General features: G+C 41.3%; 1 protein-coding gene across 8 annotated transcripts in view, besides 1 other annotated feature; it reads left to right on the forward strand.

The window, feature by feature from the left end:
* The window catches only part of SNAP23 (synaptosome associated protein 23), a 41,930-nt gene that overhangs the window by 23,270 nt on the left and 4,797 nt on the right, over positions 1–13,863 (forward strand). For 5 of the 8 annotated variants that reach the window (XM_047433203.1, XM_017022694.2, XM_047433202.1 and 2 more), the window contains one exon: positions 839–956. In XM_047433203.1, the coding sequence (XP_047289159.1) occupies positions 839–956 (118 nt within the window). Of the gene's footprint in view, positions 1–838; positions 957–7,049; positions 7,083–13,863 lie in introns of all 8 variants that reach the window. The other 3 variants (XM_047433199.1, XM_047433200.1, XM_006720725.4) reach the window with 1 other exon arrangement.
* Positions 3,740–3,940: a silencer, noted in NCBI's record as "peak2311 fragment used in MPRA reporter construct". NCBI's record gives its function as "represses an SCP1 promoter by STARR-seq MPRAs in K562 erythroleukemia cells {active_cell/tissue: K562}" and the evidence as "EXISTENCE:reporter gene assay evidence [ECO:0000049][PMID:32103011]".

Genomic DNA, 13,863 nt, shown 5'->3' on the forward strand with positions numbered 1-13,863 from the left:
TCGGCCTCCCGAAGTGCTGGGATTATAGGCGTGAGCCACCGTGTCTGGCCAGACATTGTGATATTCTTACATCATCCTCAGAAATCAAGTTCTAAAACAGATCTAGATTCAGGTATGCTTGGAAACACTTGAGTTGAGTTGGCCCTGAGTAATCAGGTCTAGTTTTTATTACTCTTATAATAGCCCTCAGGTTTTGAACCTATTATAGAAATGATGGGGATTTGACCTCGTCAAAGTACCCTTAACTTGGTTGTAAGGATGATCTCTAAATAACCGTCCCTTGGTCCTACTATACAAGATTCTTTTTTTTTTTTTTTTTTTCGAGCGGGAGTCCCACTCTGTCATCCAGGCTGGAGTTCAGTGGTGCAATCGCAGCTCACTGCAACCTCCAACTGCCGGGTTCAAGCAATTCTCCTGCCTCAGCCTCCCAGGTAGCTAGGATTACGGCACCCATCACCACACCCAGCTAATTTTTGTATTTTTAGTAGAGATGGGGTTTCACCATGTTGGCCAGGCTGGTCTTGAATTCCTGACCTCAGGTCATCGCCCACCTCGGCCTCCCAAAGTGCTGGGATCACAGGCGTGAGCCACCATACCCAGCCATATACAAGCTTTTTAGAACAAATTTTTCCACAGCAAGAGGCTAGGTGCCTCCGGATCAGTACGTGAAAGATTGTTATCATGTTGAATCGCTTCTAATACCTTTTGACACTGACATACTCACTGTGGGGAGTTATTGGTAGATTCAAGGTTGAAGTTTGCTGTTCCATAATAATAGCATTTTCTGGTTGACACTGTGAATGGAACACAAAGTGTTAACTTCACAACTTATTCTTAGAACAACTAAACCGCATAGAAGAAGGCTTGGACCAAATAAATAAGGACATGAGAGAGACAGAGAAGACTTTAACAGAACTCAACAAATGCTGTGGCCTTTGTGTCTGCCCATGTAATAGGTGAGTTGATAAATTAAGATGGTTTCAAAATAAGTAATGAGAGTACCCCACCTTCTCCCACCAGCTAAGGTCAGAAGTATGACTGGGCTTAATGAGGAACTCTATTAGATAAATCTAAGTTGTCTCTCCTTCAGGCAGATTAAGCTTTTTGTGTAAATACTGCGTGTTCACTGAAAACTGTGACTTACATTTGACCAATCCTGGGATCAAGTCCAATTTCAATTTGTAGTAATACATGAAAAGGTTAGGAAGTATAGGGAAATGTATATCTGGATGATGGAAAGCAGGATGGAGTTATTTTCTTTTCCTTTCAAAGGAGGAGTATTAACAAAATATATATTTTGTGGTAGGCACATGAGGGATGGCCAAAAGAGTAGAAGAGTTGGGAAAGAATGGCAAAACATAAAAAATACATAAATCTAATGTTAGATTATATGATAGTGAGCAAGGCTAAATCTAATGTTAGATTATATGATAGTGACCAAGGCTAGGTATACAGAACTGATAAAGGTTGGGTTGGAGAGCATCTTATAGAAGAGGTAGGATGTGGATTGGGCTTTGAGTGATAAGAAGGATTTGGATGAACAGGGAGGAACAGTGAGGGCATTTCCTATGAAAGGTTCAAAATAAAGATTAACAAGGAGCTTGACTTAACTGAGCTGTGTGACTCATGTAGATGAGAAGTGGAAAGTAAGATATAAGTAGGTAGTAGAGGAACTTGAATGCCAAACTAAGGAGTTGACAGATTGGAGTGGAGTATAAAAAGAAACGACAGTATCTGGAGATTGAATGACTGTACTCACTGCTGAAAGTTTTGTTTTGTTTTTTTTCTGAGACAGGGTCTCTGTTACTGAGGCTGGAATGCAGTGGCGTGATCACAGCTCACTGCAGCCTCTCTTTCCTGGGCACAAGAGATCCTCCCACCTTGGCCTCCCAAAGTGCTAGGATTACAGGCATGAGCCACTGCACACAGCCAAAGTATCCTTTTTTTTTTGAGACGGAGTCTCACTCTGTTACCAGGCTGGAATGCAGTGGCGCAGTCTCAGCTCACTGCAACCTCCGTCTCCTGGGTTCAAGTGATTTCTCCTGCCTCAGCCTCCCGAGTAGCTGGGACTACAGGCGCATGCCACCACACCCAGCTAATTTTTGTATTTTTAGTAGAGACGGGGTTTCACTATGTTGGCCAGGATGGTCTTGATCTCTTGACCTCATGATCCGCCCGCCTTAACCTCCTCAAGTGCTGGGATTACAGGTGTGAGCCACCACACCCGGCCTCAATGTATTCATTTTTAAAGAGGTTCTTAGACATTAATATTTCATCCAGTTCTCAGCTGGTCTTGTAAACCAACAGCGGTTATATTTTTATATTTTCAGTAAGTGTTTTTATGAAACAACATTTTTATGCCATTTCTGTTATAGAAAGTAGAGATTAATTGCTTGTCAGTCAACTTTAGTGTTTGTTTTGGCCATGAGGAAAGGTTTGACAGTGTTCTTCCTAGTCTTATCCATTGGCTTCCTATTCTAACACAAGTCTGTTGACCTGTTTACACCTTGGTTGACCAACTGAAAGTTCTGTATTTTTTGAGACGGAGTCTCGCTCTGTCACCCAGGCTGGAGTGCAGTGGTGTGATCTCGGCTCACTGCAACTTCCACCTCACGGGTTCAAGTGATTCTCCTGCCTCAGCCTCCCAAGTAGCTGGGATTACAAATATGTGCCACCATACTCAGCTAATTTTTATATTTTTAGTAGAGACAGGGTTTCGCCGTGTTGGCCAGGCTGGTCTCAAACTCCTAACCTCAGGTGATCTGCCCGCCTCTGCCTCCCAAAGTGCGGGGATTACATGCGTGAGCCACTGCTCCCGGCCAAAAGTTCATATTTTAATAACTATGACTTGTCAATCAGAGTTTAGCAGATTACTTTAAGCAAACAAGTTAAAATGTACAGATTATTTGATACAAACTCTTAGCTATGTTTTACAAACATAATTGTACCTTTCTCTTGTGTTCCATGTACCTTCTTGGAAGAGTACAGAAGAGAGGAAGTAGATGAATTTTCTTGAGATCAGATGTTAGGAGAACAAGGAGAAAGAAGTCTCCCCTAAAATCTTAGAGGAAGATCAGCTCTAAGTCACGTGTTGATAAATAGGAAGAGCACTGAATTAGACCTAAGATGGTCTAATATCATAGAAAGTGGGAAATGCAGCTACAGAGTATTAATTTTATGTCTCTTTGTGTATCCCAGCCAAGCATAGGCAAGCTTTTCTTGAAGACTGGTGGGAAACAAGGTAGGGTATGGTCCTGAATCAGCATTCTTCAGCCTCTAACCTCAGTAGAACCCTTTCTCAGTGGATCAAGAGAAGGCATTACTTTTTTAGAGATGGCCTCTCCCTCTGTCTCCCGGGCTTGAATGCAGTGGTGCCACCATAGCTCACTGTAGCCTCAAACATCTGGGCTCAAGCAATCCACCCACATCAGCCTCCCAAGTAGCTAGGATTACAGGTGTGTGCCACCATGCCCAGCTAATTTTTGAAATTTTTTGTAGAGACAGGGGTCTTGCTATGTTGCCCAGGCTTGTATCAAACTCCTGGCCTCAAGAAATCCTCCCACTTCAGCCTCCCAAAGCACTGGGATTACAGGCTTAAGCCACTGCACCCAACTGGCACTTCTTTCTTTTTTTTTTTCTGGCACTTCTTGAGAGATGGAATCAAGGGGCTGCTGTAACAAAACAGTTCCCTTAAGAGAAGAAAGTATTATCTCAGTTAAAGATGTCTGATTGTAATTGTCTTTCTTCCACCTATTTCTTTCTTACACCATTGAGACCTTGGCCAGTATGATATCTCTTATCCTCAGCTCTGTTCCTATCATTCTTGCCTGTGTCTTGATCTTTCTAATCTGCTAGTCTGTGTTTCAGTTAGGCTCGTCACATGAATAACCATAACATGAGCTTCTTAAAGGTAGACATGAGATCTTAGTCCTATGTGTAAGGCCTAGTCTTCATACCAGCAGTAGCAGTAACAACCCAGGTCAGGTCCAGAGTTCCTTATTTGCCATTTGGAAATACTTTTTCTTTTCTTTCTCTTTTTTTTTTTTTTTTTTCTCGAGACAGGGTCTCGCTCTGTTACCCAGGCTGGAGTGCAGTGGCAGTCATGGCTCACTGCAGCCTCAACCTATCCTCCAGCGTCAGCCTCCTGAGTAGCTGGGATTACAGGCACATGCCACCACACCCAGCTAATTTTGTATCTTTTGTAGAGACAAGGTTTCACCATGTTGGCCAGGCTGGTCTTGAACCCTTGGGCTCAGGCAGTCTACCCACCTTGGCCTCCAGAAGTGCTGGGATTGCAGGCATGAGCCATTAAGCCCTGCTGGCCATTCAGAAATCTAAAAAACTCCTAAAGTTTTGTTTTATTTTTGCTGTAATGGTGCCACAACTCATTAGGGTATAAAATGTAACCTGAACTGAAGCTATGTTTAGTCTTTATTACTTGCTGTAGATATTAATTGGTTTCACTACAGAAATACTCTTTTTGAGTCAGGGTCTCACTCTGTCACCCAGGTTGGAGTACAGTGGTATGATCTTGGCTCACTGCAGCCTCGACCTCCTAGGTTCAAGTGATCCCCCCACCTCAGCCTCATGAGTAGCTGGGACTACAGGTGCATGTCACCATGCCTGGTTTGTTTTTAAAAACTTTTGTTTCTTCTTCTTTTTTTTTTTTTTTTTGAGACGGAGTCTCACTCTGTTGCCCAGGCTAGAGTGCAGTGATGCAGTCTCAGTTCACTGCAACCTCTGCCTCCTAGGTTCAACCGATTCTCCTGCCTCAGCCTCCCAAATAGCTGGGATTACTGGTGCCTGCCACCACGCCCAGCTAATTTTTGTATTTTTAGTAGAGATGGGGGTTCACCATGTTGGCCAGGCTGGTCTTGAACTCCTGACCTCAGGTGATCCGCCTGCCTCGGCCTCCCAAAGTGCTGGGATTACAAGCATGAGCCACCATGCCTGACCCTGTTTCTTTTCTTTTCTTTTTCTTTTTTTTTTTTGAGACAGAGTTTTACGTTGTCACCCAGACTGGAGTGCAGTGGTACAATCTCGGCTCACTGCAACCTTCGCTTCCTGGGTTCAATCGATTCTCATGCCTCAACCACCCAAGTAGCTGGGATTAGAGGCATGCACCAACACCTTGCTAACTAATGTATTTTTAGTAGAGACGGGGTTTTGCCATGTTGGCCAGGATGGTCTTGAACTCCTGACCTCAAGTGATCCACCCACCTCGGCCTCCCAACGTGCTGGGGTTACAGGCATGAGCCACCGTACCTGGACTTTAAAAAGTTTTTGTAGAGATGAGTTCTCACTATGTTGCTCAGGCTGGTCTCAAACTCCTAAGCTCAAGCAATCCTCCCACATTGGCCTCCCAAAGTGCTGGTATTACAGAAATGAGCCACCACACGCAACGTCACTACAGAAATATTAATGTATTTAATTATGTGGTACTGTCCAAAACATCTTGCCCCCAATGGATTGGGGTAACAGTTGTGGGCCTGTGCATTAATTTAAGGTACTATTCTGAACATGTTAATTTAATCCTTAAACAGTAGCCTTAATATGAGATAGATGTTTTTTATTATTATCATTTTACATCCAGGCTACACTATGTAGTGGAAGAGCTGGGATTCAAAACCAGGCAGAACCCCCTTGCTTTTTTTTTTTTTTTTTTTTTTTTGAGACAGAGTCTTGCTGTATCACCAGGCTGGAGTACAGTGGTGTGATCTCAGCTCACTGCAACCCCTGCCTCCCAGGTTCAAGTGATTCTGCTGCCTCAGCCTCCCGAGTAGCTGGGATTACAGGCGTGCACCACCACGCCTGGCTAATTTTTGTATTTTTAGTAGAGATGAGGTTTCACCATGTTGGTCAGGCTGGTCTCGAACTCCTGACCACGTGATCCATCCACCTCGGCCTCCCAAAGTGCTGGGATTACAGGCGTGAGCCACCGCGCACAGCCCACAAATCCTTTTTTAAAATCACATATCTTAGGCAGTAATTGATAAATTGTAATTCTAATTAACAAGAATTTGAAAGCAGACAGATTTAAAATGGGAAGTCTCAGAATAGTAAACTGCTTGATGTCCCAGTTTAAACATTCTTTTTTTTTATTTTTATTTTTTTGAGATGGTGTCTCGCTCTGTTGCCCAGGCTGGAGTGCAGTGGCACGATCTCGGCTCACTGCAAGCTCCGCCTCCCGGGTTCACGCCATTCTCCTGCCTCAGCCTCTCGGGTAGCTGGGACTACAGGCGCCCGCCACCACACCTGGCTAATTTTTTGTATTTTTAGTAGAGACGGGGTTTCACCGTGTTAGCCAGGATGGTCTCGATCTCCTGACCTCGTGATCCGCCCGCCTTGGCCTCCCAAAGTGTTGGGATTACAGGCGTGAGCCACCACACCCGGCCTTAAACATTCTTAGATAAGGTATTCTTCTGTCTTAACTTGCCTGTTTTATAAAGTCTAACAATGGCACATAGTTTGAAGACAAATTGGCATTTCTGGACCACTTACTAGAGAAGTTCCAAATTGGCACTACAGGTTTACTGCTATTCCGATCTTAAGTCATACCAAGGTGTAAAAATTCAGCTCCGACTAATTAAAATGAATATTGAATTATATTTCATTCAGTGGTTTAGTGCTTCTTCCATCCTGCTCACTGGAGACACAAATATGAGTAAGGCATACCTCTGGCCCTGCCTGTTTTATTTATCATGACATGATTTTTTATACCTCACATAGTATTGGATATACAGTAGTTACTCAATAAACACTTGTTGATTTGAGTGTCCTTGAGAAACTTGTTGGCTGGTGGGAGAGTTTGACGTGTAAAAAGATTTTTTAAAATTACAATGAAAAAATATATAAGAAAATAAAATACATAATAGAAGTCATTAAGAGAAATCTTAATCACTAAGAGGAAGGAGTCTCAAAGCACTCCATTGGTTTTTGCCTTCTCTCATATTGTCTAATTTTAGGAAAGAATATCATCACCCAAAATTCTGAGGAAAAATGAAATGTGCTCTGGTTTAAATAGTTTTCTTATTTTTCTTTTTATCTAGATTCTCAGATGTTGGTTGTTTCTATGAAACCAGGCAGGAAATTGAATGCATTATGTTTTTAAAACTTTAAACCTGCTTCTGTTCTGTTTGACTGGCATTTACTATTTTCTGCATTTCATTCTCTCACCTAATCTCTTCCTTTCTAATCTGCTTACTAAAAATGAAGATTTAACATCAGAAGCCGGGCTCAGTAACTGATCAAAGGGAACTTTAAGATGCAGTCTTGTGGCGCAGTTTGGGCTGCTAACCTGCTATCTAAAGGTGATGCTTCAAATGGCTTTTCTGTGCATGTGCATGGATTTTGTGAATGGTGAAAACTGTCTCTAAACTGTGTGGTGGTGTGTAGTGTAAAGTGAATTTGTTCTTGATGGGTGCTATCTCACAAAAGATGGACTTGACAAAAGGACCTTAATTTATAATACCATCCTTTGACAAATGTCTCTGATAACTAAGTTTTTGCTAAATAACATTTAAGATTACCAAAATAACAATACTCCTGGAGTTTCTTAAGAAATTTAAAATAGGTTGATCTTTGAGACAGCTGCTGCAGTCTAGTTCTGATAAAAGGTAAGGGAAGTCATGCTAAATGCTTCTCTGTCTTCATAGACTTTGATTTTAGCATCCTGTCTTCCATTAAGTTTCCCTACTTTTTTCTGGTTCTTGAGTCAAGATTTCCTCTATTAAAGTTTTGCTTCTAATGATTAGGATTACCCATGATTTAGGCCACTACCAAATTAAGGAATCAATTGCCAGTCTAGTCGTCTCAAATCCTATTTGGAACAAGGTGGGATATAAAATTTTAAATGCTACCATATCTGGTATCTTCTTTCCTTAAATAAGGGTTTCCCCTCTACATATGTTATAAACTATTCTATAATTCCTGTTACATCATGTGTTAACTTGCTGTGATTTCATGTTGAATTAATACAAAACTAACTAATATTAATTTTTCATGGGAGGTAAGTTTTGTCAGCTTACTGTTTATTATTGTGTCTGACTCTTAAGTTTAGATCTTTATGAGAATTATGAACATGATTAAATGTTAAAAAATTAAGTATTTGATTTCTACCCTTTGTTTCCTGCCCTCCTTTTTTCTTCTTTTCTTAGTTTGACTATCCAAAGCATACACACACTCACATTCACTCTTTATTATTAGTTAATAGTTATTTGGTCCCTTTTCTCCTTGATGTGAAATAGTCACAGCTAATATTTAGTTTTATTTTTGCTATTTTTAATTCAGTTAAAACTAATATTGATGCAACCAAAACTAAAAAAAAAAAAAAAAAAAAGAAATTATCGTTTTTGTGCTCATACCTTGATATTTACAGTTTTATGCTTGATACCAGCTTCCTGAATTGACTAAGGGATATTTCAGATTCTTACTTAAAACTTGCCTTTTTTTTTTTTTTTTTTTTTGAGACAGAGTCTCGTTCTGTCCCCCAGGCTAGAGTATAGTGGCTCAGTCTCAGCTCACTGCAACCTCTGCTCCCAGGTTCAAGCGATTCTCCTGCCTCAGCCTCACGAGTAACTGGGATTACAAGCGTGCGCCACCACACCCGGCTAATTTTTTGTATTTTTAGTACAGAATAGGTTTCACCATGTTGGTCAGGCTGGTCTTGAACTCCTGACCTCAAGTAATTCACCCGCCTTGGCCTCCCAAAATGCTGAAATTACAGGCGTGAGCCACACACCCGAAAACTTGCCATTTTTGAATGAGACGTTTAAGTGGGAAAAAAAAAAAAAAGGTTCCAGTTAAAGACTATTAGACCACTCAGAACTAACAGTCAGTTGTAAATCTAAGTTTCTAGATGGAGTTCTGAACTTCATTAAAATTTATCACAAATTTACTTAGGCATTTTATCATGAAGACTAATTTCTTCCCAGAGGGGCTGTACATTTTATTTTCAAGAGTCCTGTCACAGATTAGAACTATTCTTTCTTACTGTAGACTAAAACAACCTGGTCCTAGTAATCTTTCATGTCACGATATTCCAACTACATTCATGTACCTGTAGATCTCAAAGCCAAGAAATGGTAATGGACCAAAAAGTAAACATGCCAGTTGGTAACCCATGCACTTACAGGCATGAACTGTTGACTAAAGGTCAGGTTGAAGTTGAAGCCAATGAATGAAAATATTTATCCAGTGATTTACAAAGCAGTTTTATGTCTGTTATCAACAGAACATTTTACAGCCCTGCTAAACATTAAGTATTGTTATTATCCTAGTTTTACGTACAAAGAAAGGGATGCTCTGACACTGAAGTTTGCTCAAGATTCTGTAGCTTCTGAATGACATGCCTAGGATTGGGATTTAGTTATTTTACTCCAAATGCTGTTACTTTTTTGTTTTTTGTTTTTTGTTTGTTTGTTTGTTTGTTTATTTTTAGATGGAGTCTCACTCTGTCCCTCAGGCTGGAGTACAGTGGCATGATCTCAGCTCACTGCAACCTCCGCCTTCCGAGTTCAAGTGATTCTCCTGCCTCAGCCTCCCAAGTAGCTGGGATTACAGGCACCTGCCACTGCGCCTGGCTAATTTTTTGTATTTTTAGTAGAGACGGGGTTTCACCATCTTGGCCAGGCTGGTCTTGAACTCCTGACCTCACGATCCACCCACCTCGGCCTCCCAAAGTGCTGGGATTACAGGTGTGAGCCACCGCGCCTGGCTTTTTTTTGTTTTGTTTTAATCCTGACATGTCCCTTTGCTTCTTCTAGATTAATTATTTAGTGCTCCAATATATAGACTACTAGAGTCTATAATAGACTACCAGAGTAATCTAAAGTACTCCTCCTGGATCGCTAAATGTCCCACTGACCTTATATAAAACAACAACAAACGATTCCCAGGCTATACTCCATGTGTATTGGAGTAGAATCTTCAGAGTGCAGCCTACTATCTATGTGTTCTACAGCAGGGGCCCTCAACCCCCCCAGCCATGGACCACTATTGGTCCACGGCCTGTTAACAGAAACTGGTCCTCATAGCAGGAGGTGAGCATTATTGCCTGAGCTCTGCCTCCTCTCAGATCAGCAGTGGCATTACATTCTCATAGGAGCAAGAACCCTATTGTGAACTGTGCATGTGCGAGATCTAGTTGTACGCTCCTTATGAGAATCTAACTAATGCCTGATGATCTGAGGTGGAACAATTTCATCCCCAAAGCATCCCCTGGTCCCCATTCGTGGAAAAATAGTCTTCCATGAAACTGGTTCCCCAGTGCCAAAAAGGTTGGGGACTGCTGAGGTCACTCTGATACTCAGTCAAGTTTGGAAGGTATTACCTTTAAAGCATCTAAGACCCTTTGGAAGGAAAGTAAATTAGTTTAAAAACATATTTATATTTGTGAACATTTTTTATTTTATTAACTTAGATAAGCAGCTATCTGACAATGCCTTAAAAACAGGTTCCAACTTGGTGGAGGAAACTCCAGGGTGATGGCCAGTAACAGGGTCTTGAGCAACCAAAAGGCATTACCTAGAGTGGACATGCTGAATGAGACGCACTGAACTGTCCCACCACCCCTTCATAAACACGCAGAACATACTATAACTGCAAGAAAAACAAGTAGTTTTTTTCCCCATCCCATTTGAAGGTAAACATGCCAACACAATGCAAAGCTGTAAAAAAATTCAAAGTCAGCTGGGCGCGGTAGCTCACTTCTGTAATCCCAGCACTTTGGGAGGCCGAGGCAGGCGGATCACGAGGTCAGGAGATCGAGACCATCCCTGGCTAACACGGTGAAACCCTGTCTCTACTAAAAATACAAAAAATTAGCCGGGCGTGGTGGCAGGCGCCTGTAGTCCCAGCTATTCGGGAGGCTGAGGCAGGAGAAGGGTGTGAACCCGGGAGGCGGAGCTTGCAGTGAGCTGAGATCGTGCCACTGCACTCCAGCCTGGGCGATACAGCGAGACTCCGTCTCAAAAAAAAAAAAAAAAATTCAAAGTCAGCTTTTTGTGTCTTTTCCCCTTGTTACAGAAAGAACATCTTCAAAGATCCAGTCTTCTTTTTTTTTTTTTTTTTTTTTTTTTTTTTTGAGACGGAGTCTCACTCTGTCACCAAGGCTGCAGTGCAGTGGCACGATCTGGGCTCACTGCAACCTCTGCCTCCCAGGTTCAAGTGATTCTTCTGCCTCTGCCTCCTGAGTTGCGGGGACTGCATTCGAGCGCCACCACACCCAGCTAAGTTTTGTATTTTTAGTAGAGACAGGGTTTCACCATGTTGGCCAGGCTGGTCTCGAACTCCTGACTTCGTGATCTGCCTGCCTCGGCCTCCCAAAGTGCTGGTATTACAGGTGTGAATCACCGCACCCGGCCAAGATCCAGTCATTTTAAAGACAGCAGAGTTTGATAACCAATCTGATTCTTTGTTTATAGACTATGTTTCAATTAAAAATCATTCACATGATCATTTTTAAACAATTCATTTGCATTTTATGCCCTTATATCTAATTGTGGAAAGAAGAATTCTCATAAGTGTAAAGAATTTTTTCAAATATTGCCTCTTAATGTTGGGAAGGAGGTTGGAATGCATATATATTCCTTAATAGACCAGAACCCAAGGTCATGTCCCAGTCCACTCCTCTTTTTGTGCTGTCAGAAACATAATATCTCATTAGTTACTTTGGAATTTCAACCTTCTCTCTTGCACCTGTTCCACAATCCGAAATTCTAATAAAAGCCCCACTTCTGTTACTTCTGTTAATATTTGTGGTTATTAACTTTCTGATAAACTAATATATTGCTTTTGTTTTATTTACTAGCACTTACTCTGCTCTAGAATTTTGCCTGGGACCTTTCTTATTATTAACAAAGAATACATGTGAATATTTATTTTAAAAATATATATCCTACCTTGTTCCAAGAAAAATTTAACATGGCTTCTTAATAAATAAATGGGTTAATTAATAAAAACAGCATAGAAACATAATTATGATAACTTAAAGTGGTACCATGAAACACACTTGGAGAACTAGCTCTTCAGTGTTCATAAATTTGCCTTTGCAATGCCTCTCACAAAAAAAAATTAGTAGTATCCTTTCTGTAATGTTAATGATAAAGTCTAAGATTCAATTCTAGGTTTGCCGAAAATGAATCCTCACATGCCTATTAAGGAAGAAGTCACTTTTTTCATAAAATCTCTTCCCTACCTTTTTAATTTTTGCAATTTTAAAACTTCCTTATTAATGTAAAATGTAGAATAAATCAGAGATCAATATTTGAGCAACATACTATTTCGTTTTTGTTTATAGAAAAGTGAAAACTAAAATTGAATGAAAGCTTGACTTTAGCCAAATAATCAAGAAAAGTTTTGTGTCACTTTTCCGTAACAGCCATTTTTTTTTCCCTGTAATAGCCACTTTTTCTTTCTTTTTAAGACACTTAGACTTATGATTTTTTTTTTTTTTTGAGATGGAGTGTCTCGCTCTGTTGCCCAGGCTGGAGTGCAGTGGTGTGATCTTGGCTCCTTGCAACCTCCGCCTCCTGGGTTCAAGCGATTCTCCTGCCTCAGCCTCCCCAGTAGCTGGGATTATAGGCACGTGGTGCCACACCCAGCTAATTTTTGTATTTTTAGTAGAGATGGGGTTTCACCATGTTGCCCAGGCTGGTCTTGAACTCCTGACCTCAGGTGATCCACCCACCTTGGCCTCCCAAAGTGCTGGGATTACCGGTGTGAGCTACTGTGCCCGGCCTTGATCGTTTTTTTAAAGAGGAAACTCTTAAATGAAAAACTCCTACACTACAGGATTTATGAATGACCGCTTGTGTGGTCAAGGTACTTATTTGTCCGCTGATTGTCCAATTTGGAAATTATTCATGCCTTTCTTTCCTGATGGCTGGTTTGTTTGTAAGAAACCATTGTTTAAAATTTCATGGAAAATTCTAATAAAAACTGATCAGCTGGAACTACGCTGGTTCAAATTCAGTCTTCTTATTTTAAAATTTTATTTATTTATTTAAGATTAGGTCTCACTCTGTCACCCAGGCTGGAGTGCAGTGGCACTATCATGGCTCACTGCAGCCTCGACCTTCTGGGCTCAAGCAGTCCTCCCACCTCAGCCTCTCGAGTAGCTGGGACCACAGGCGTGTGCCACCACACCCAGCTAATGTTTGTATTTTTTTATAGAGATGGCATTTTGAGGCAGGGAGCAGTGGCTCACGAGCCTGTAGTCCCAGCACTTTGGGAGGCCGAGGTGGATGGATCACTTGAGGTCAGGAGTTTGAGAGATGGGTTTTTGCTGTGTTGCCCTGGCTGATCTTAAACTCCTGAGCTCAAGCGATCCACCCGCCTTGGCCTCCCAAAGTGCTGGGAGTACAGGCGTGAGCCACTGCACCCAGCATCAGCCTTCTTATTCTGTCATCCCTTGTCAACCTCTGAGATGCCTTCAAGGAACCTCTTAAGGTATCCCAGAACACCTTTTCTAAGGGACCTTTTTTTAAGTAATGTGCATTAACCTCTTTTCTAGATAGTGCTGGATACACTAGGAAGAGAAAAGCAAAACGATAGTGCCAGAGGCTAAGGGAACCTGAAAAATCAAATAGTTGCCTTTTGCTACTTGCTAACAGCCTAGTGAAGATTTGGTAGAAGTAGTATTTGGACCTTTTTAAAATTTTTTTTAGTGTCAATGGGTTTACATAATTCATCTATTTCCTATTCCATATTGCCATGGAGCATAGTGTAGATCATCTAGACTTAGCTGTATGCAGCTTTTCTACTAGAGTTATTAGTGTCATCCTCAAGGTAACAGGCACTAATAATTAGAACTCTCCGTCTTCTTTTTTTTGGTATCTCCCTACACTCCTGACTCTTATATAG

Source organism: Homo sapiens, chromosome 15, assembly GCF_000001405.40.
Source record: "Homo sapiens chromosome 15, GRCh38.p14 Primary Assembly".
Taxonomy (NCBI): domain Eukaryota; kingdom Metazoa; phylum Chordata; class Mammalia; order Primates; family Hominidae; genus Homo; species Homo sapiens.